This window comes from Homo sapiens, chromosome 6, assembly GCF_000001405.40.
Source record: "Homo sapiens chromosome 6, GRCh38.p14 Primary Assembly".
In the NCBI taxonomy this organism is placed as follows: Eukaryota; Metazoa; Chordata; class Mammalia; order Primates; family Hominidae; genus Homo; species Homo sapiens.
The window spans coordinates 53240167-53264131 of NC_000006.12; the positions used below are offsets into that span (position 1 = coordinate 53240167).

The window sequence follows — 23965 nt, forward strand, 5'->3', positions numbered from 1 at the left end:
CTGTGCTCCCATTGGTCTAAACCAATAACAGCGCTCAACTGCGCTGTCTGTATGAGATGCTTGCAATGCTGCTGCCATCTTTTGAAAAAGAGAATGATCAGCTGACAGGCTGAGTGAGCAGAGAAATGAAGAGAATCATCTGGGGCCTGAGTGAGATCACTGGGCTGCTTTGTTAATCTACCCTAGATGCTCTCTACATCTTGAATTCTTGTTATGTGAAATTACAATTTTTTTCTTACTGTTTGAGTCAGAAGCCCAAGGTATCTTGCTATTTTTCACACTGGCACACTGGAGAGGCAACAAGAAACCCCAAGTGGGGTTAGTGGAGGAATCAGTTCCTCCACTTAGAAGCCATTACTGAGGAACAAATTACTTCAAAATTTAGTGGCTTGAAATAACAATAAGCATGTATTGTCTCTGTTTCTGTAGGTTGCAAATTTTGGATCTTTTTGAATGGGAAGTCTGGCTTAGATTCTCTCCTCTCATGAGACTGCAGATGGGTGTGGGCTGGGGCTGCCCTAATCTGAAGGTTCAACTGGGGCTGGTGGGTCTGCTTCCAAGGAGGCCCACTCACTTGGCTGGCCAATGGGGGCTGGCTGTGGTGGGAGGCCTCAGTTCCTCTCCATATGGGCTTCACCACATGGTACTTGAGTGTTCTCTGTTTAAAATATAGGTTTTATTAATATTTAGGTATGGCAAAGCCATCAGATCAGGAATGACTGCTAATAAAAAGATAGTTTGTTATGCTCACAGATCTCAAGAGGAAGGGGTGTGTCACACCAGCCACATGGGGAAGTACCAAGATCAGTCAGGAGGCAGAGGGAGCAGAGTGAAAACAGGGGCACAAACTTTTTTTTTTTGAGATGGAGTCTCGCTCTATTGCCATGCTAGAGTGCAGTGGTGAGATCTTGGCTCACTGCAACCTCTGTCTCCTGAGTTCAAGTGATTCTCCTGCCTCAACTTCCCGAGTAGCTGGGACTACAGGTGTGTGCCACCATACCCAGCTAATTTTTTGTATTTTTAGTAGAAACGGGGTTTCACTGTGTTAGCCAGGGTAGTCTCATTCTCCTGAACTTGTGATCTGCCCGCCCTGGCCTCCCAAAGTGCTGGGATTACAGGCGTGACCCACCGCGCCTGGCCAGGGGCACAAACTTTTATTGTGGTTTCTGTGGGAAGGAATGAGTGAGGGAGGGTAATTGGGCTTTGGATTGAATAGTTTGAATCATTTCAGCAGGCTCTGGGCCATACGGGCTATCCCTAGTTGCCTAGTTCCTACTCCTGGGGTGATTAGGGCAGGTGGATAGTGGCCTGGAGGGTGAGAGCCCATAATGGAGGTGGCAGTGTGTGGGCTCTGGATTGATTGGTTTACATTTGTGACGCACCCTCATGGTTGTTTGCTATTTCTAAAAACTGGCTAGTCCTGGGACAGGCATAAAAATACAAAAATAAAAGACATGGTAAATACATTCTCACAGCATGGTGCTGGCTTTGCCCAGAGTAAGCAATCCAAGAGAGCAAGACAGATGCTGCAAAGTCCTTTATGCTCTCAATTCAGAAGTCACATATTATCCCTGCTGAACTCTACACAGACCAGTCCTAATTCAACATGGGAGTAGACTATGCAAATAAATACCTAAGAGGTGAAGATCACTGGGGGCCATCTTGGAGGCTGGGTATTACACATCTGGCAAGTTCCTTGACCTCCAAATGTCAGTGTCTTCACTTAAAAAAGATGGCAATAATATTATGTTACTTTGACTTCTAAGTTGAAAGCGAACAGAAAGTGACTCTGGCTTGCTTAGGCAAAAGAGGAATTTATTGAATCAGTTTTGGACAATTCACACAATAGAAGGGAAGGCTATAGAACCAGGCTTAGCAGAACCTAAGGGAGCTCAGGGAGCAGGGAAAGTCATGCAGGGCAAAGCCTCAGGGTTGGTCTGGTTGGGAAACTGATGTTGACATCAACTGCACTGGCCACCGGATATTGTGGCCAGAGCTAAATGCTCAGCACCACTGCTGCTGAGCAACTCTCAATCGCCTCTGTGCCCTGAAGCTTCCACAGTGTGGGGAGAGTGGAGAAAGGAGGACCAGGTCCCTTCTGCTTCTGGGATTACAGCATATGTCCGCTACAAATATGGGCTTCATGGGATTCACCAAAAATATATGAGCACCTTCCTTGGAAAATCGAGAATGCTCAGTAATGGTTGGTTGCTTAATAGAAAGGAGAAAGCAGATACCGTGGGATGGAATAGAGTGAGTTTGGAGATCTCAAGTTGAGAGTGAGAATAAAGCATGCTCATTACATTTCCAGCCACACTGAGCATTTCTAATCGCACTCTTACCTTGTCTTCACTCCTATGCACATTTGCAAATTCTTAAATTGCTGAGATTTGTACAAATCTTATCTATATACTCTATCCAGTGAACCAAGTTGGAGGCAAGGGAACAGTATGTTATTAAGAAAAGGTAAAGTGAAAGCCTCCTGTGAAAATTGCAATACTGGCTGGGAGCAGTGGCTCATGCTTGTAATCCCAGCACTTTGGGAGAATGAGGTGGGCAGATTAATTGAGGTCAGGAGTTCAAGACTCCTGCTTGGGCAACATAGTGAAACCATGTCTCTACTAAAAATACAAAAATTAGCCAGGTGTGGTGGCGCACGCCTGTAATCCCAGCTACTCGGGAGACCGAGGCAGGAGAATCGCTTGAGTCCAGGTGGCAAAGGTTGCAGTGAGCTGAGATCACACCACCGCACTCCAGCCTGGGCAGCCGAGTGAGACTCCATCTCAAAGCAAAGCAAAGTGTAGAGAAAAGAAAATTGCAACACTAGCCTCTTGGTACCTTGACATGAACCACAATTAACCACACTCTTTAAGTGGTGGTAGCTTCCATTTCTGTCACTGTTACCTTCATAGTACTTTTTTTTTTTTTTTGAGACAGAGTTGCTCCTTCTGCTCACTGCAACCTCCACCTCCTGGGTTCAAGCGATTCTCCTGCCTCAGCCTCCCGAGTAGCTGGGACTACAGGCACATGCCACCATGCCTGGCTAATTTTTTGTATTTTTAGTAGAGACGGGGTTTCACCGTGTTAACCAGGAAGGTCTCGATCTCCTGACCTCGTGATCCGCCCACCTCGGCCTCCCAAAGTGCTGGGATTACAGGCGTGAGCCACCACACCTGGCCCCTTTATAGTACTTCTATCTCAGTTTGAATTTCCAAGGCAAAGCCAGACACCTTTTCTCACAAAGCCTGTGCTCTGTTGTTAGGTGTGGGCATGAGTCTTGCTGTTCAAACTCAACTATTTCATTCAAAGTGACCTTTCGTGGGTTTACAAATTCATTGAGGTTGAATGTGTAACTAAATTCTAAAATGTTAGTTCTAAACTAAGTTCTAAAATGGTTCTAAAAAGTTCGTATGTAAGGAGCACCAGGAGGGCTTGCTGAAACACCAGTTGCTGGGCCCCACCCCTGGAGTCTCAGGTTCAGCAGGTCTAGGGCGAGGTCGGAGGATGTGCACTTCTAATACGTTCCCAGGTGGTGCTGAGGCTGCTGGTCTGGGGGCCACATTGAGAAACACTGACTTGAATGACTTGATGCTGTTGCTGGCCTGCTTTGTAAACTTCTTAGACCCTATCCAGTAATTGCCTTTCTTTTCTTTTCTTTTCTCTTTTCTTTTTCTTTTTTTTTTTTTTTGAGACAGAGTTTCACTCTTGTTGCCCAGGGTGGAGTGCAATGGTGATATCTTGGCTCAGTGCAACTTCCGCCTCCTGGGTTCAAGTGATTCTCCTACCTCAGCCTCCAAAGTAGCTGCGATTACAGGCATGTGGCACCACACCTGGCTAATTTTTTTGTATTTTTAGTAGAGACAGGGTTTTACCATGTTGGCCAGGCTGGTCTCGAACTCCTGACCTCAAGTGATCCACCCATCTCAGCCACCGCACCCAGCCAGTAATTGCCATTCATAAAGAAAGCCAAGATGACACCTACAGAGCAAAATTATGTGATATTCAGGAATAAACACTGAAACATTATTTTGATTAGAATAATAGCTGCACGGAACAGAAACTTAGCTATAAGAGCTTAAGCAAATAACAGTTTGTTTTTCTTACATTCCCAAGAAGACTAGAAGCTGTGATAGGCTGGTGAAATGACTTCACCTCATCAGGGGTCAAGGCTCTTGCTAACTTTCTCTTCTGTCATCCTTGGTAAATGATCTTTGTCCTCATGGTCACAAGATGGCTGCTGCATCTCCATGTATTGCCTCTGCACTCTAGGCAGGAAAATGAATGATGAAGAAAAATGCATGTATGAGCTTTTCTGAAAGTCCCTCTAGAGACTTCTGTTCCCATCTCATGGGTTAGAACTATGTCACATGGCCACACCAAGCTTCAAGGGAGCCTCAGCACTCATTGACCCACATAAAATGGGGTTCCCGTCGATGAGAAAGGAAGGAAGAATGGGTGGTAATCAGCAGGCTCTGGGATGCACTCACCTGCTTGACTCCCAAAGGGTCACATTGCGTACTCAGGCCAGAGCCACCTACAGTGCTAAACCAGCCACGCAACAAGTGAAAGGGACAGAGAAAAGACATGAAGCCACTTCTGTACTAGCATTTCTTGCCTCCTGCTAATGGGTGTTATATGAAAAGGGAAAACTGAACTAGAACTTCTTTACTATAGACTTCTGAGAAGTTTTATTAAGCTTATGTATGTGATGACATTCCAAGGCAGGAACAAACATACTGCATTTTCCAAGCTTATTTGACCACAGAGGCTTTTTAAAAATTTTTCTGGAGCATCTCTCTGAACTACATTCCATGGAAATTTTTGCCAGAAAACCTTGATATATACAGTGTCAACTATCAGTGTGTTTTTTAAGACTCCTTACGAGAAAAAAAGCCAAGTATGTTCTTCTTACATCAGTGAGATAGTTCTACTTTTTTTAAGGGGAAGGAAATGAAAATAGGAACAGTTTGTGAGTCAGGGCGGGGGGTGTGATACCAGCCTGCCACCTGAGAACCATGCAACCTTGACAGGCCTGGTGGCCTCCCTAGAGTCTCCTGTGGTTTTTTTTTTTTTTTTTTTCTGTGAGACAGAGTCACCCAGGCTGGAGTGCAGTGGTGCGATCTCGGCTTACTGCAACCTCTGCCTCCCGGGTTCAAGTGATTCTCCTGTCTCAGCCTCCAGACTAGCTGGGATTACAGGTGCGTGCTACCACACCTGGCTGATTTTTGTATTTTTAGTAGAGATGGGGTTTCGCCATGTTGGCCAGGCTTGTCTTGAATTCCTGACCTCAGGTGATCCGCCCCCCCTTGGCCTCCCAAAGTGCTGGGATTACAGACATAATCTACCACGCCCGGCCAGAGTCTTCTGTTCTTACTTGCAAAACAAGATCTGTAGGCAAGCACCAGGATGCATCCCAATAAACCAAAATTCTGCAACTTCACAGCTCCTAGAAAGATCAAGAAGGGATGCCTGAATCAATCTTTGGTAATGGGAGATAGAGGATATATGCCCTCCTGTTGGGCGACAGAGTGAAACCCCGTCTCAAACACTGGAGATGGACTCTCGGGGTTTTGACATGTTGGCCAGGCTGGTCTTGAACTCCTGACCTCAGGTGATCCGCCTGCCTTGGCCTCCCAAAGTGCTGGGAGCACAGGTGTGAGCCACCACACCAGGCCTGGTTCTCCCCTTTTAAGGGCTCATGCATTCTATTAAGCTCACCTAGATAATTTAGGATAATCCCCCCATCTCATCACATCTGCAAAGTCCCCTTTGCCATATAAGGTAACATATCTACAAGTTCTAGGAATTAGGACATGGACATCTTGGGACTCATGGGCATTCTGTCTACCATGCAGATGAAATCTATTGTTTAAAGAAGTATAAACAGTGTTGGGAAACTGAAGACTATAACAAAAAATTCAAATTAGGCTTAATAGTATGTGAGACAAGCAGTACAAAAGGTAGAGAAGGTTTATGTGAGAAAAGAAAAGAAAAAAAAACCCAAGAAAGGAGATCAATTACAATACAAGCAAAAGTAGGACAACACTAGTTACGAGCTGGAAGCACGTGAATCCTTTAAGAGCCCGAGCAAAGGGCAAAGGTTTAGTATGGGATTGTTGGAGTTTCTTTCTATTATATATTGTACCTTCACCAATAGAACTAAAAGTCTAAAATCACACTATTTAAAAACCGAGAATGTATCAGCATTAACCAGATTGATCCTACAGGCGCTGCTTGACTTTCAGGTGTGGAGGTGGTAGGAAGAGCCACAGAATGGCCTGAAATAATTGCAGAGCTCCAGTGTTTGAAGAATGTATAGGAACCTGGTGAGGTGAAGGCACCCGTGCCTTTGCTTAGTGGCTTCAGGATGTGGAATAAAAAGGAACATGACATCTACATCCAGGTGAGAATTAGGCTTGGGACAAAGGGTGGTGAAGTATTAGTCCAAAGGTCAATAAAAGAGTAAGAATCACATGCAAGTAAAAGGATCCAGGCAGAGGGTGTGCAATAAGAATTTCTCAGTCCTGGTCCTGTTGTCATTGTGAACCACATAATTATTTGTTGTGTGGGTGTCCCGTGCATTGTAGGCAGGTTAGCAGCATCCCCGGACTCCACCCATCTGATGCAGTGGCACCCTGCCCCAGGATGTGACAACAAAAAATGTCTCCAGGCCTTGTCAAATGTCCCCAGGGGGAGGAGACAAAAATCACCCCAGTTGGGAACCACTGGTATACACTGAAAGAATAGGTAAGGGGACACAACACACCAAAAAGGGGGAGCCTGCAAGCCTGGAAAGAGTCTTTGAGGCTGCAAGGACACAAAAACCGAGGGAACCTTGTAAGGGGCCTGTTGCTGGAGCTGGTGGGCTGGCTGGGAGCCACCAAGAGCATCCAGCTGGTTTGCATACTGGCCTGTAACTTGGCCAGGGCAGGATCCAGGTCAGAAGAGCTCAAGTCTAATTCGTTCAGGGGTTGCACTCTGGTTGTTTTCCATTTGTTATGCAAGCACAGGTTTCAAAAGGCAATTCACCTGGGCAGGGGATATGCTTGCTTGCAATATAAACAGCTTGGAACCTATTATCTTACATGGTTGTTTCACTTCATCTAGGTTCACTGTCTGTCCTCCTGACCCCTGATTTGTAGAGGAGGGAGGAAACAAGGATGGTGGAGAGACTTGGATGCAAGTAGTGCCACCTCCAGCCTTTACAAGTGCCGTTAGGAGAATTAGAAAAGGTGCATCTCTGGCTGGATGAATTAGGAAAGAATGTCCCCTCAGGGAGGATCAGGAGTGGGGCTAGGCTAGGAGAGTGGATGGCACCTTATCTCCAACCCTAGCTGGGAGCGCAGAGCTGCGTGTCAGCGCCCCCATAGTGAGTACCTGCAGAGTTCCTATGGGAGCAAGCCTCCACCATGCACACTACATCTTACATAGCCTGTGAGGCAGAGGCTTACTCATGTAAACCTTGAGGGGCAGACATGACATATGGGGCCTCCGAGCTCTGAGGGGTACTAAACTTTCTTACCAGCAGGATTAGAATTTTAGTATGACACATGGTGAGAAACAAAGGCAATTGATTCTGTAGGAATGAGTGTAAGGTGGCTTAAGAATATTCTAAAGGAGAAAAAAGCAAAATGGACAGCTAGGAGAGACTGTGCAAAGTCGCTTCTGTGCATCTGGCCTGATGAGCATATTCATTGATAAATTTAGGACCTAGGTGATCAACAAGAGCACTGCACTTTTGCAAGTGAGGGCAGACCTCTAAAATTCCTTCTAAGGTTCAAACACTAATGGCCCAAGGCTATTAACTGCATCTAGTTCAGGGGATGTGTTCTATAAAGTAAATCATGATCTGCTGCATAAATTCCTATGCACTGGATGTTGTAGAAAAATCTTCCTTTGATGACCTTGGAAGACTAGACATGTTAGCCCTCTTTCTACAAGGGCAAGGAAGGTATCATGCAGCCAAAGGACAGAGAAAGATTCTAAGTCAAGAAAACGCCCATTAAGTGCAGATGTGTCCACGTTATAGTTGGAGACCTTGAACCATAGGGTCAGACTAACCCTAACATTGCAGAGTTGCAGAGGGTGAGAGTGTGAATGGAGACCTACACAACAACTGTCTAATTTTGTTTCTTTTGAGACAGGGTCTTGCTCTGTCACCCAGGCTGGAGTGCAGTGGCGCAATCACAGCTCACTGCAGCCTCAACCTCTTGGGTTCCAACAATCCTCTCATCTTGGCCTCCCAAAATGCTGGGATTACAAGGATTAGCCACCACGCCCAGCAAATGTCTAATATTTAAATAAACTTTCTTCCATCTTTGTACTTTGTCAAATATACTTTCATAGCAAGAAAATGGGGGAAAAGTGAAATTTACGGTTTTTATATGACTGAAAGTTTGCAAAAACAAGAAGAAATAACTGGACTTCATTATTACATGCCTGTAGGTGTTCTGTTAATGGGCTGACATGTGTGAATGCATACTGAAGACATATACAATTCATGCATTATATATTTATCCATAAAATTAATGTTTCTTGCTTTCATTTCAGGAAAATTACAATTATGTTGTTATAATCAATATTTTCACATAATTTGTGTTCTATTAACAGTAATACCTAATTAGATTACCTTTCTTGAATCTTAGTTTTTCTTTTCATTTTTTCAAGTTTCCATTAGAAGCTGCTCGGCAGAGGCAGTAGCAATTGCAATTGTCATTAAAATTCTTAAAGCAACCCTTCCATTTGGAAATGAATCATGAATTTTATGTCAGTCATTATAATTGGGTTGCATATGGTATATTGCCATTATCACAGGGACTATCACAAAATAGTTTAATTTCATCCCATAAATTACTATCACTTACATAATGATTTTCAAGATTTCTTATAATAATGTCTTAAAAATCTATACCTATATAGTTTTGTGAAGGGTTGCTATCACGTTTCATGCTTACATGTGCAGACCTACATATACACACCTTTAAGACTAACATGAAGGCTGGGCACGGTGGCTCACGCCTGTAATCCCAGCACTTTGGGAGGCGGATCATGAGGTCAGGAGTTTGAGACCAGCCTGGCCAACGTAGTGAAACCCCGTCTCTACTAAAAATACAAAAATTAGCCAGGCATGGTGGCATGCACCTGTGGTCCCAGCTACTCAGGAGGCTGAGGCTGGAGAATCACTTGAACTCAAGAGGTGGAGGTTGCAGTGAGCCAAGATCGTGCCATTGTTCTCCAGCCTGGGTGACAGAGTGAGACTCCGTCTCAAAAAAAAAAAAAAAAAAAAAAAGACTAAAGACTAACATGAACTGTTGTGAATATTGTGCTAATTGATGAGTAACTCCAGAATCTTAAATTGGAACATGAAGGGAAACAAGACTCTTGCATTCAGGCTGAGAGGAAGATTTTGGAGAGCTGTCTTTCCTCTTACCAAGGAGCTCCTGTTACCCCAGTTCTCCTCACTCCCCAAGGCAGTGTCTGTGTCTGATGCCAGCAGAAGTACAACCTACAAACCATCACAGCTCTGGATGTCATTACCTTTTGTTTGGAGAACACGGGGCAGAAGATTTAGAGGTCCCCTGGCACCTAAATGATGTTAGTCATGACTGGTGTTCAGGGTTACAAGTTGCACTGAGCCAATGGTGAATGTGAAGTGACCGAGGACCTTCTAAAGTGAGGGTCCAGGACCCCCTACCCTAGTCCTTGAAGGCCAATGCTGCACCCCTTGCTAAATAACCATACAAATATTACTATAGTGGATTGAATGGTGTCTCCCATTAGAATGTCCACATTCGAATCCCTGGAACTTATAAATACAACCTTTTTTTGGAAAAAGAGTCTTTACAGATGTGTTAAATTAGGAATCTTGAGATAAGCTCATGTTGGATTATCTGTGTGGGCCCTAAATTCAATGACAAGTGATTTTATAAGAGACAGAGGGGAGTCGGAGAAGAGGAGAAGGCCATATGATTACAGGGGCAGAGACTGGAGTGATGCAGCCACAGGCCAAGAATGAGAGTCAAGTTATAGCCTTCGGAGGGAATAGGCCCTGCCCATAGCTTGATATTGGATTTCTGGCCTCTGGGACTGTGAAATAATAGGTATCTGTTGTTTTAAGCACCAAGTTTGTGGCAATTTGTTACTGCAGCCACAGGCACTAGGGCTGATGATAACAGTGACTAATAACCATGAGCATTTACCATGTCATTTAACAGTGACTAATAACTATGTGCCAGGCCCTCTGTGAAGCCCCTTTTACAAGCATTATCTCATTTGAATCTCACAACAGCCTCATAAGATTGGCGTGATTATTTACCCCAATTTACAGATGAGGAAATTGAGGTTCAAATGGAGCAAGCAGCTTGCCTGAGGCCACATGGCTAGCAAGTGGCTGAGCTGGGATCTGAACCTAGATCTGTGTGACGGTAAGACCTACTTGAAGCACAGGCTGAAGCCTCGCTGCCTGGTCACATATGGAGCTGTTACAGACAAGCCCTATTCTTGGTGGTTCCGGGTTGATAGTTCTGTGTTCTTTGGCCCCCTACTTAAACGGTGGTTCAAATATTTTAGCACTTGCCCCCTCAACCTTCAGCTCTGTACCACCCCTCAGAAGTGATACATAAATTATAATCAACCATTTATCTAACTCAGAAGACCAAGGGAAAACTTTCCTTGCTATAAAGAAACATTTTAGCCATGCTTAGTCACATACAGTTCTTTGCAGCTATTTTGCCTCTGGGTCATTTGGGTTTATTTGCAGATGTTGCCAAACGAATCAGAAATCTTGGGAAACGGTCTTTGGAGAAGGACAGCAATCAGAATGATTTTTTGTTAGTTTCTTCTCCCAGGAGAAACCTTTATAAAGTCAGAAATAAGTTTGTTTTCTTAAGACTTAAAATATGTTCTCTGAGCTCATTAAACTATCAGAACGTGAAGTCTAGACTCTGGTAATAGTATGACTTAGACAGGATTTCTTTCCTTGTCTATCTTTGTCCAGTCTACTGGGGACTAGAAGAGATTGTTCTTTATCTGCTGGCCAGCCCAAAGACTGTGTGTGTGTTTTTGTGTAAGTGTGTGTGTATGGGGGTTCTGGATGAGGTGGTTACTTTTATTTTGTTATCCTTTATTTCTTTTCTTTCAAACTAAATCTACACCCCATTTTACAGGTGGAAACATTGAGTGTTTTGGTGACTGTAAACAATTTTCTCCATGGCGACTCAACTATGCAGGCTTATTACAAATGCTGTGCTTGTCTTCTCAAGAAATCATTCCATTTAGTGAAAACGAGAGCTGTTATACAATGAGTTTTGAGGCTAATTTTAAAGCAAGTCATGTGTCCCTCCCATTGCTCTGACCCAAATATGAGACAGGGATTCAAAGTTGCACACAAAGAAAACCAAAATCAATCAGGAGGCTCTATATGAACAATTTAGTGGGTTACAGGAATGCAAGCTTCATTTTTCAGCCACTGCAATGCTTTATCACTTGACATTTATTTAGTGTTCTAGTTAGTGCCTGGGAGACTGTTGGGAAGGAACCTTGAGTCCCAAGCTGGAACCTGAGACTGACCTTGGGTCACTTGTTCTCTCTGCACCTGGGTTTCCAGAGCAGTAAAGAGATGCTATTCTAACCTCTCTTGCAAAGATGCCTCTGTAGTGTGCTAACCAACCACTGCGAATAGAGGTTTGAAGCCATGATCAGGAGCATTCTCTTGAAGGCCGATGGTGAAGGGAAAGGATAGAGACAGGGTTGCAGATAATCCTTAATGCGGCCAGGGCTGAAGAGAGTTGGTGCAGACTGAAAGTGCCAGCGTAGACAAAATGGAAGTTCACCTCTAATTTCATTTGTCTGAACCCTTTCTTTCTGTCCAAAGTTAACTTTATGCAATCACTGGGCCCTGGGGAGCTTTCCTCCTCTCTTATTTCTCCAAACCAAAACCTGCTCCCAGGAAATAATCTGATAAATTCAGTTGCATCATGGAGAATGGACAAACTGTTATCTTCTGCAAGCCCTCACATTGAAAGTCTTAAAGCAAAAGTAGTGTGTCAGTGTGCAATTCCAGGCAACAGAGAAGATGGGGAAGAGAGGTGAAACCTGTGGTAGGGCAGGGAGTGTTGAGGAAAGTGTTAGGAAAGTTAGGGTCCCAGGAGGACAAGCATTGCCAGAAAGGCAGGCAGAAGTCATTAGCAAGGTATCCAGCGCCTGATGAAGCAGACCATGAAGCTAAGGAGATGAAGAGCAGAAAACCTTGAACAAAAGCTCATATGGAAAGCTATTTGCTTTTTCCCTCAAGCAAAAGATTCAAGAAAAGCAAATGTGTATATAAAACTCATTCACTCATTCATTCGTTCACTCATTCATTCGTTCATTCATTCATTCATATAAAATTGTATTTACTATGTTCCAGGTATCAAAGAGCCAGGAAAAAGATAAAATCTCTGTCTGCATGGACCTTTCTCTCAGGCTAGTAGGTGAGGCTAACAACAAACAAATAATCTCAGGAGGTTGTAAGTGTTTTGAAAAAAAGTAAAACAGGGAAAGGAGATGAGAGGGTAATGGAGCTGGATGAGGGGGTTAGGAAAGGTTCTTATGTATGGCTGCCTGAGTTAGCAAATAAAAATACAGGACACCAGGTAACTTTGAGTTTTAGATAGATGACAAATGCTTTTTCTTTCTTTTTCTTTTCTTTATTTCAATAGGTTTTGGGGAACAGGTGGTGGTTGGTTACATGGGTAAGTTCTTTAGTGGTGATTTCTGAGATTTTGGTGCACCCATCACCCAAGCAGTGTACACTGTACCCAATGTGTAGTCTTTTATCCCTCACCCCCTCCCACCCTTCCCCCAGGGTCCCCAAAGTCCATTGTATCATTCTTATGCCTTTACCTCCTCATAGATTAGTTCCCACTTATAAGTGAGAATGTACGATGTTTGGTTTTCCATTCCTGAGGTACTTCACTTAGACTAATGGTGTCCAATTCCATCCAGGTTGCTGTGAATGACATTATTCCATTCCTTTTTATTGCTGAATAGTATTCCATGGTGTATGTATATATATCTATATATCTATATATATCTATATCTATATCTGTATATATCTATATCTATATCTATATCTATATCTATATCTATATCTATATCTATATCTATATCTATATCTATATCAACGTTTTCTTTTTTTTCCTTTGTTTTTGAGATGGAGTCTTGCTCTGTTGCCCAGGCTGGAGTAAGTACAGTGGCGCCATCTCGGCTCACTGCAACCTCTGCCTGCTGGATTCAAGCCATTCTTCTGCCTCAGCCTCCTGAGTAGCTGGGACTATAGGCGACTGCCACCAGGCCGGCTAATTTTTGTATTTTTAGTAGAGATGGGGTTTCACCATGTTGGCCAGGCTGGTCTTAAACTCCTGACCTCAAGTGATCCACCTGCCTTGGCCTCCCAAAGTGCTGGGATTACAGGGTTGAGCCACTGCACCCGGCCCCCTATATACCACATTTTCTTTATCCACTCATTGATTGATGGGCATTTGGGCTGGTTCCATATTTTTGCAATTGCGAATTTTGCTACTATAAACATGCGTGTACAAGTGTCTTTTTTGTATAATGATTTCTTTTCCTCTGGGATACCTAGTAGTGGGACTGCTGGATCAAATGGTAGTTCTACTTTTGGTTCTTTAAGGAATCTTCACGCTGTTTTCCATAGTGGTTGTACTAGTTTACATTCTCACCAACAGTGTAAAAGTGTTCCCTTCATACCACATCCATGCCAACGTCTATTATTTTTTGATTTTTTGTTTATGGCCATTCTTGTAGGAGTAAGGTAGTAGTATTCCATTGTGGTTTTGACTTGTATTTCCCTGATAATTAGTGATGTTGAGCATTTTTTCATGTTTGTTGGCCATGACAATTTTTTTTTTTAGTATCAATATGTCCCATGCAATATTTGGGACATACATGTGCAAAAATATTACTCATTTATCTGAAATTCAAATTTAACTAGACGTCTTGAATTTTATCACATAACTCTCTCTACTCCCATGAGGCCCCCATGAATGAGGTGAGGTTGTATCCCAGGAGATAACAGTAAGTGCAAAGTTTTCCAGGCAGAAATTGATCCTAGTTTGCTCAGGAAGAAACCCTGTGTGGCTGAAATAGAGGGAATGGGGACGGGGAAAGGTGGGGGTTTGGGGGTGGTAAAGATGACCCAGTGGAGGTGGGCAGGGGCCAGATCTTGTGGGGCTCCAGGCAAGTGTGAAGAGTTTGCATTTTATTCTGATCTTTGGAGTTTTAAAGAAAGCTCTCTCAGTACTACAAAGTATTCATTTCCATGAATATTCCAATATAGTACTGTATTTCCCAAAGCAGTCTCCACTGACATTAAGAACAGACTTTATGATAGGAGAGAGTAGGTGCCCCTGCCCTGGGAGAAAAAGAGTGATATCCCCTCTAACTCCACCTGACCTCCCTTCTCTCCCTCCACCCCATTCACACTTTCTTCAGTTTTCCTAACACCATTTCACAAAACCTTAATAAATGAGCTTAAAATGTTACTGGGAGAAAAGACTTAGGTACTCAAATTCTTACTAGAAGGTAAGTGACTGCTAGACTGCATATAGTATAGATTAGGTGAAGATGAGAAAATAATGAAAAAGGGAAATTTGACAGTGCTGGCCAAGTGCTGGCAGCTTGGCTAGTTTGCCTACCTGTGACCCTGAGAGTGAGAGTGTTTGCTGAGTAGAAATGAAATCCAATTCTCCCATTCTCTGTGGTGAGATGGCTAAGAAGCTCTCATGGAAGGGAATTCATTGGGAACCAGGCTGCCTGGGAACTGATACTGCCAGATGGCAGAGTAGTCAAAACAGTTAGCTATAAAGCCCACACTGTTTTGGAAAAGGCTGAACTTGCATCCCTGCTGCAGACCTCAGTGGGCTCCCATCTAATGTTTCCTGCCTCCTCTGCCTTTTGCCTCAGTTGATCATGGGTGACTCAGTGCTCATCTCTGGCAATTCACTCTTTGCAGGGATTTATCTTTCTGAACCAGCCTCCTCTCTGGCCTTCTATTAAAATATATTCTATGTCAACAGAAGAGTCTTGACTGTATTTCTATGGGAGAGTTTCTCTACCTTACTTTTCATGCAATGTGGGATTTTTCATACCTAATAAAAATCTTTTTTTTTTTTTTTTTTTTGAGACAGGTTCTCACTCTGTAGTCCAGGCTGGAAGTGCAGTGGTGGATCTTGGCTCACTGCAACCTCCGCCTCTCAGGCTCAGGTGATCCTCCCACCTCAGCCTCCCAAGTACCTGGGACCACAGGCAAGTGCTATCACACCTGGCTAATTTTTGTGTTTTTTTGTAGAGACAGGGTTTCGCCACGTTGCCCAGGCTGGTCTAAAATTCCTGACCTCAAGTAATCCACCTACTTCGGCCTCCCAAAGTGCTGGGATTACAGGCATGAGCCACTGTGCCCAGACCTAATAATAATCTTTTAGCTAAACAGAAGAGTGACCATGCTCTCCATCTTACAGATAGGGGAAGTGACTGAGAGAACTGACTTGCCTCAGGTTTCCAGAGTAGTAAGTGGCAGAGCATAAATTTGGACCTCTTATTTGTCTTTTCTAACACACTAGGGGTTGTTAATTTGTTTGAAAAATATTTAATGATTTGAGCAAGATTGCACGGCTTCATGCCTCCCTCTAAAATCAAAATGTTCTTTTTCTATAGAAACCAAGAGCAGTATCTACAGTAGAAAGAGCTTTGCTCTCATTTTTTTATTTAAAAAAGTGTTTATTTCAAATAGATTGAATCACTAGGTGATGGGCTGATTCTTTCAAAAAAATTTAATGACCTCCCCATTATACAAACAATAAATGTTTATTGCAGTAACTTTAAAAAAGTTAGAAAGCCACAAAGGGAAAAATAAAAATCACCTATAATTCACCCACCCAGATATAATTGCTATTGACATGTTGATACGTATTCCTCCAATCTTTTTCATACACATGTAAATGTAGTTTAACAGATTGGAAGAAATGTGCTATAAAATGGTTGATAACTTACTTTTTTATTTAATGATACTTCCATGACCATTTTCTAACATTGTTAAATTTTTTCCAAAATATGTTTGATCAGAGCATACTGTCTAACCTATGAATGATACACCTACTGCACATAACCTATTGGTACTTTGAGATTATTACCCATTTTTTTATTATTATAAATAACACTACAGGCTGGGTACGGTGGCTCACACCTGTAATCCCAGCACTTTGGGAGGCTTGAGATGGGCAGATCACTTGAGGTTGGGAGCTTGAGACTGGCCTGGCCAACATGGTGAAACCCCATCTCTACTAAAAATACAAAAATTAGCCAGGCATGGTGGCACACGCCTGTAATTCCAGCTACTCGGGAGGCTGAGGCAGGAGAATCACTTGAACCTGGGAGACAGAGGTTGCAGTGAGCTGAGATTGTACTACTGCACTCCAGCCTGGGCCACAGAGCAAGACTCCATCTCAAAACAAAAAACCAACAAACAAAACAAAGAAAAAAAAAACAACCAAAGAACCACCCTGCAATGACCATCCTTGGTCTTATAAAAACTTAGTGTTGTTTCCACTCAGTGATTTGTCTAGATCTTGCTTGGAGAAAAATAAAAACTGGGTAAAAAACAGAGATAGTTAATAGACATTAGTTTGATTTTTGTCTGTTGGAGAAGGGAAAAGAACAAGGCCACTGATTTCAAATGTCTCTTCTGTAAAGGTCATTTGCTCCCCCGTACTCTTAGTTCTATTTCCGCTAACTTGGCTCTTGCACTATCATCCCTGTAGCCCCAGCTTTCCATCCTGCCACTGCCTTCAGCTGCAATTCTTTGTTTTTGCCCTACTCATCACCTTGGAACCTACCTCCCAGGTCTCACCAGCTGCTGATGGATGTTTTCTGTCTCTGCTCAGTGCCTGAAAACTTATTTCTCAGGGCAGTCGATGAGGGATCCTTATCACAGTATCTGGAGTCATGCCCATAAAGCTCTTTGGCAAATCATTGCACTGTGTTACCTGTGGGTACATCCCCACAACCCGGCTAGTGTTGACCTCGTGGGGAGGGTAATAAGCTTAGGGATTATTCCCAGTATTGTGACTTATGGATTTCTTTCATTTCTTCACTGGACTGAGCTACTATCTCTCCATTCTCTTCTTATTAGGAGCTGTTTGTTAGTTCTAATAACAACTAGAAAAACTGTGGTGATTGTTAGTCCCAAGCTATAATCTGAGGAACAGTTAAGAGAGGTCATAAAATCAAATAAGGTTAGACTGAGTGCCTTTAAAAAAAATCTCAGTTGTTGCAGGGTTCTAAAAATAGTTTCCAATGCCATCCTTCACCTTCACAATTATTTTTGTCTTCAGTTCTAAATGTGAAAGGTACAGAGCAGCAAATTTATACATTAACTTCATAGGAGAACAGAAAGCTCATTAATTCTTAACATTGGTGGGATTTGATGGTTCACCATCATATGCTCTGTTCCGAAATATGTCTGGGTCCACTTTTCTGAGATGATTAAGATGTCCTACTGACAACCTCAGGGCTATTAAAAACACAGTGCCCTTCATATGTGAGATAAGGTTACAGCTCCCACAAGGGAGGGTTTGGGCAACATCAACGTTAATCATCTCATGTTCATTCATTCACAAATTCATTTATTCTAATATTTGAGACTCTCCTATGTGGCAGGCAAAAGAAAAAGCCCTTGATTTCAATATAGATACAACACAATGGAAATATTACAGAGAAAAATAAAGCCAAGTCAAAGAGAGGTGTGTGTGGGGAGGGATGTGAGGAATGATATTTTAGATCTGGTAGTTGGGGAGGCCTCTCTGGGAAGGTGGCATTTAAGTGCAGGGACAAGCCATGCAAATAAACATCTGGAGGTGAGAACAAAGGCCTTGAGATGGAAGTGGCTCCTCTAGAGAACCAGGCAAGAGGTGAGGGCAGCTGAATGTGGTGAGCAAGGAAGAGGATGGGACATGTGAGAGGGGTCAGGGCCAGCTCCAGGAGCCTGTAGGCCATGGAAAGGCATAGGATTTTATTCTCCGTGAAGCAAGTGCCTAGAGGTGGCTCCCAGACACAGGCAAGCTAGTGACCTCAAGGGGGCCTTGGTCCTGCTCCATCTGAAGAGCTGATTCATTAGACTTTTGCAGTCCCTGATCCCAGGAGCTACAACCTTAGATTGCCAGGGAACTGGAAGCATTTAATTAGGGATTCTGGGGAGAAGCTGTGGGTCCTGTGATAAGGTCCCTGTGGCTGCAAGACCCACCCTCCTGGAGGTTTCATGATTCAGATGAGCTGTTCTGGCACTCTGGGTCCACTAGAAGCTGATGGGATTTTTAACAGAATGTTATTCCCACTGTGCCACCAGCAGGTTTTTATGGCCTCATGTGACCATTAACTGTTGCGTGGGGATCATAATTCTAAGAGACCCCCCTGGAGACCATATGGTCTGTATCTATTTTCTTGAATCCTAGAACCATGCTGAGGTTTAGGAGGTTAGGTAACTTAACAAGGGCACATGGTTATTGAGTGATGGCAGGATTTCATCTCTGATCTAATTGGCTGGTGATATGGTTTGGCTCTGTGTTCCCACCAGAATCTCATCTTGAATTGTAATCCCCATAATCCCCCATGTGTTGAGGGTGGGACCTGGTGGGAGGCGATTGGATCATGGGGTTGGTTTCCTCCATGCTGTTCTCATGATAGTAACTTCTCACGAGATCTGATAAGGTTTCATAAGAGGCCCTTCCCCCTTCACTTCCTTCACACGCTCTCGTCTGCTGCCATGTTAAGACATGCCTACTTCCCCTTCTGCCATGATTGTAAGCTTCCTGAGGCCTCCACAGCCATGCAGAACTGTGAGTCAATTAAACCTCTTTTGTTTATAAATTACCCAGTCTTGCGTAGTATCTTTACAGCAGTGTGCAAATGGACTGATACAGCTGGAAAGCTTGTTTTCCCCGTTATGCACCACACTAATATTTCCCAAATACTTCCATTCATTCATCAAAACATTTATTGAACATCTGCTATGTATTCAGTGCTGGGCACACTACAGGGATGCAGAGACAAATGAGACAATTCCTGCCCTCAAGTGTCTTGGAATCAAGTGGGTTGTTTAGAATATACACTCTATCTTCCAGGATGAAGTGAGATTATAACACACAGCCCCACTTTTAGACTTTCTGAATGGAGATTTGTCTTATCCTTATAAAGGAACTTCGCCAGCTGCCAGGCAGGACAATGAGGTACTTGTCCATACCTGTCATTGTGCATCTGCCATTGTCACGCATGAAAATCATCCATTGATCCATCTGTCCTCAGTTACCGTTGGCATGTACTACCATTCTGTGCATTTCACTCACATTTGGATCCTTGTAACTCTCAAAGAGATCACACTGCGATTCAGGACTAAACTGAAAAGTCATCAGTTGCCCATCACACAGGAACAATGCAGCTGAAGGCAGTGGGAATTGCTAAGTCTCTGAGTGCTCACAGAATTGTTAGGGCCAAGCGTAGGCCTGACTCATGAATGGCGGACTATCATTTAGGTGGAGAACAGAAGCTTCAGATAATCAGAAGCTTCCAGATAATTTTTTAGAGATGTGAAACTTCCAGGAATATCTTATTTGGTTGAGACAATAGGAACTACCCATTTAACCACATAGGTAAAACTCCAGTATCTTTTGACGTGCCTCCAAATTATCTTTACAAGTACCTAAGAGATTATTCTCACATCAGAATTCTGATTGTTGCCGTCAGCATACTTCCTATAATTTGTAATTGTCTTTGTCCTTCACCCAAAATGAGGTTATCTTTTCATTTGTTGTTTCCCCAGCACTGGCAAGATGCCTGGAGCTGCGAAGGCCCTCGGTGAATGCTGCAGGATTGCAAGCAAGGGTTGGGGAGAGCAGCATGCTTCTGAGATTCTGTAGACCTAACCATGGCCAAAATGATTTTGAACTGTCTTTAATGTCTGGCAGGAGCTTAATCTCAGAAGCTTCACTCTTATTATTTAAAAAGTGCTACATAGTTGTATAAACATGATACTACTCAGTTTTTAAATACAGAATTACAAACATGTAATGTGTTATCTCAAAAAAAGTTTATTTTTTTTTTTAGATGACGTCTCACTTTGTCACCCAGGCCGGAGGGCGGTGGCGCCATCTCGGCTCATTGCAACCTCTGCCTCCCAGGTTCAAGCAATTCTCTTGCATCAGCCTCCCAAGTAGCTGGGATTACAGGCTCCTGTCACCACGCCCAGCTAATTTTTGTATTTTTAGTAGAGGTGGGGTTTCACCACGTTGGTCAGGCTGGTCTTGAACTCCTGACCTCAGGTGATTCACCTGCCCTGGCCTCCCAAAGTGCTGGGATTACAGGTGTGAGCCACTGTGCCTGGCCAAGTTTATTAGATTTATAGGTATTACTCGGTAATTACTTTTATGACTTGGCAGTTTCTTTTGCTCAATGGCATCACAGAATGAATGAAATAGTATTTGAAGGATTTTCCCTATGTCTCTTCGCTAATCCGTGAGCGGAACATCCTCACTAGATAATGTGGACTTTATAAATAATTTACAATCACATTGATGTCACCATAGACAGACTATTGTCCTGGTTAGAAATGTCACATTGTCCTGGTTAGCCAGGACAATGTGAGTCCCTGTAGCTGTAATTGTGTCTAGAGGGGTGGGTCTGAGGGAGCGCTTTCTGTACTGTCTCCCTGCCTAGTGAGCTCCAATGCCTGGCATCAGCTTTGGACCAGGAAAGCCCATTTGAACTCTGGTGTCAAACTTACCTTGGGCAGGTCATTTATCCTCTCTGGATTTCAACTTTCTCATCTGCAAAACGGGGAAGAGAGCTGCCAATACCTAGACACTGGGAGGAAGGTACCTTGGCGTCTCATGCTTGAGAGGTGCTCTGCATCTGACTTCTTTCTAAAACACCTTCTGGAAACTGCTTTCTAGAACACCTTCTGAGCCAGCAGTGAATCCCTGGTGAGCCTGCTAGTGAGTCTCAGTAATTTGGAAGGTCACTGAGAACACCATGCTATTTAATTCAGATCATGAGAAAAACTGCTATCTCTAGAAAAGTACTCCTTCTCTGGTACAGTTATTTCATCAACCTTTCATTTTTTTCCTTCTATCCAAATTTTATACTTTCATCTACTCTATTCCTACCTCAACTTCTTCAGAAACTTCAAGTCCCACCACAGGTCCTGGGACACAGTCTATTCTCACTTGGATCCTGGGCCAGTGTGGACACTTGGGAGGCTGTTTAATCCCTTGATCTCATTCCATAAAGAAACACATTTAAATCACCTCCCATCAATTTTTTCCCCAATTGAGGTAAATGTAAAATGAGTTGTAAAAAAATATGTAACATTCTTTCTCAAATGTATTCTCCAAACATTAGGAAATAATGCAAAAGAGGCCAAATGAAAGTGTGATATAGTGAATACGGTTGCAGAGAGTCTCGCTTAATTTCACATTCACTTATTCACCTGCAGGCAGCTTTCCTGAGCAGTGCTGTGGTCCACACAGGAAGGTCTTACCGGCCGCAGTCCTAGACAGAAGTTCCCTGTGTGCAGGCCTCCTTGCATTGACTGTACGCTGTGTGTAACATTTAACCTTTAAGACGTATTGGAAGCAAGTTCTACTTTATGTCAATGTCCTGAAAAGGAAAGGAACTAGAAGTAAATCAGGGCTATGCTGGAGTGCTACTTTGGAATCACGAATGTTCAAGATGGAAGGAACCAGGGCACTCCCACAACCCCCTCCTTGTAGAGGAGACCCAGAGTCATGATGTGCCTCACCAGAATCACATGCCAGTTAGTGCCAGAACAGATAATTTTTGTTCTTGAGTGACAACTTATGACTAGACAATTCTCATATTAAAACCATTTTGTAAGTCAAGTGAATTGAAGACATCCAATTTGTCCATTTTTTTGGAGAAATTTGAGTTATCTTATTAAATGCTAGTATTAACTGAGTTTTAACCAAGGATACTTTAGTGAAAATAATGTGTTGGGTAATAAAATTTTAAATCTCATGCCAAATTGATTAACACACATCTTCCTTGCTTAGTTACCTACCTGGTAATAAACCACTCTTAACAGTAAGTGCCTGTTAGGGTAAAGCCCTGTGCTAAAAGCTTTCTTTCATTTCTGCATTCAATTCCAGCAATATTAGCTAAGCATCCGTATCTCTTTTTTATAGTTGAGGAAACTGAGGTTCAGAAAAGAGATAACTTGCTTGTGGTCCCACAGTAGTAAATAGCAAAGCCTTTCTAACAGGTATGCTATGCCACCTCCAAACACACATAGAATTCTTCTAGCATCGACAGAGGTGTCCCATCTGTGCCCTAGGATATGTATCCTTCTATACTCAGTTCTAAAGTAAAGGTGTAATTTAGGTTCTAGCTTGGGGCCATCACAATTTCCCTCTCCCATTGCCCTTAAGAAAGTAGCTTTGTGTGCTTAGGATTTGGATTCTGACTGTTCCCTTGTTAAGATCATGGGGTGACATTTGGCCTTGTTGTTGTTTTTTTGAGACAGAGTCTTGCTCTGTCGCTCAGGCAGGCTGGAGTGCAGTGGCGTGATTTCAGTTCACTGCAACCTCCTCTTCCTGGGTTCAAGTGATTCTCCTGCTTCAGCCTCCCGAGTAGCTGGGATTACAGGTGTGCACCACCATACCCAGCTAATTTTTTGTATTTTTAGTAGAGACGGGGTTTCACCATGTTGGCCAGTCTGGTTTCGAACTCGTGACCTCAAGTGATCCACCTGCCTCGGCCTCCCAAACTGTTGGGATTACAGGCATGAGCCACCACACCCAGCCCTGGCCTTGGTTTTAAAATACACTTAACCCAGTACTCCTAGAGGGCTGGAGCTCTGCAGGAATGGCACAGGCAGCAGGCAGTTGGGACTTGGTCAACCCCTAACCATGTAGCCTTCCTGGAGGACTGAGAGCCACAGCAATTAATAAGGGAGCAGGGTGCTGGGAGCAGTGGCTCACACCTGTAATCCCAGCACTTTGGGAGGCCGAAGCGGGCGGATCACGAGGTCAGGAGATTGAGACCATCCTGGCAAACATGGTGAAACCCTGTGTCTACTAAAAATACAAAAAAAAAAAAAAAAAATTAGCTGGGCGTGGTGGCAGGTGCCTGTAGTCCCAGCTACTCGGGAGGCTGAGGCAGAATAGCGTGAACCCGGGAGGTGGAGCTTGCAGTGAGCCGAGATTGGGCCACTGTACTCCAACCTGGGTGACAGAGTGAGACTCCATCTTAAAAAAAAAAAAAAAAGGGGAGCAGGGAAGGGCACAAGGTTGTTGGAACCTGGTGCTGATGCTTTCCTACAAACAGGCACCTGTTTCACTGGGAACATTGTCAAGGGGAAAGCACACAATTTGCTGAAAAGTGGTAGCTTGGTTAAAACATTGTCAAATTCATCCAAGGGAAACCTGCATCTATGCCCATTATTTGAACAAAGAACACCAGTAGGAATGTGTGGACACAATCATTTAAGAAATATTTGTTTATGAGCCAATGTGGGATTTCAATCCCGACTCATCCCATCAGGGGTCCCGTTTTCAGATTTCAAATGCCATCTCTTTGGTGAGGAGCAATTTTCTGGCAAAGGTCTGAGGTACCCTTTGAACCTGCCCTATCTGACAGAAGACTCCATCAGCTTATAACTGAGACTAATGTGAGTCCTGGTTCTCGTTATCATCATGTTCTGGCTCCTCCCTGGCACTGCTGGTGATGGGAGCAGGACGGCTAGGGCACAGGCCAGTGACAGGAGGCTCTGCTCAGAATGGTTCCTTTACACATAATCACTACTTCCTCTGGGAGCTCTGAACAACATTCTACACATTTCATCAAGGAGAACACCCAGACAAATTCCACTCTCTTCCCACTTGACCTCATTTTTAAAACA

At 43.4% G+C, this 23965-nt stretch overlaps 1 long non-coding RNA gene across 1 annotated transcript; it reads right to left on the reverse strand.

Moving 5' to 3' along the window:
* Window positions 1-3878: 3878 nt before the first annotated feature.
* LOC124901332 (uncharacterized) lies at window positions 3879-22637 on the reverse strand. The gene is made up of 4 exons (XR_007059612.1): window positions 21536-22637; window positions 5375-5446; window positions 4105-4265; window positions 3879-3978 (listed from the first exon to the last, which is right to left on the reverse strand). It is a non-coding gene; the product is annotated as an uncharacterized LOC124901332 (long non-coding RNA).
* Window positions 22638-23965: the final 1328 nt, after the last annotated feature.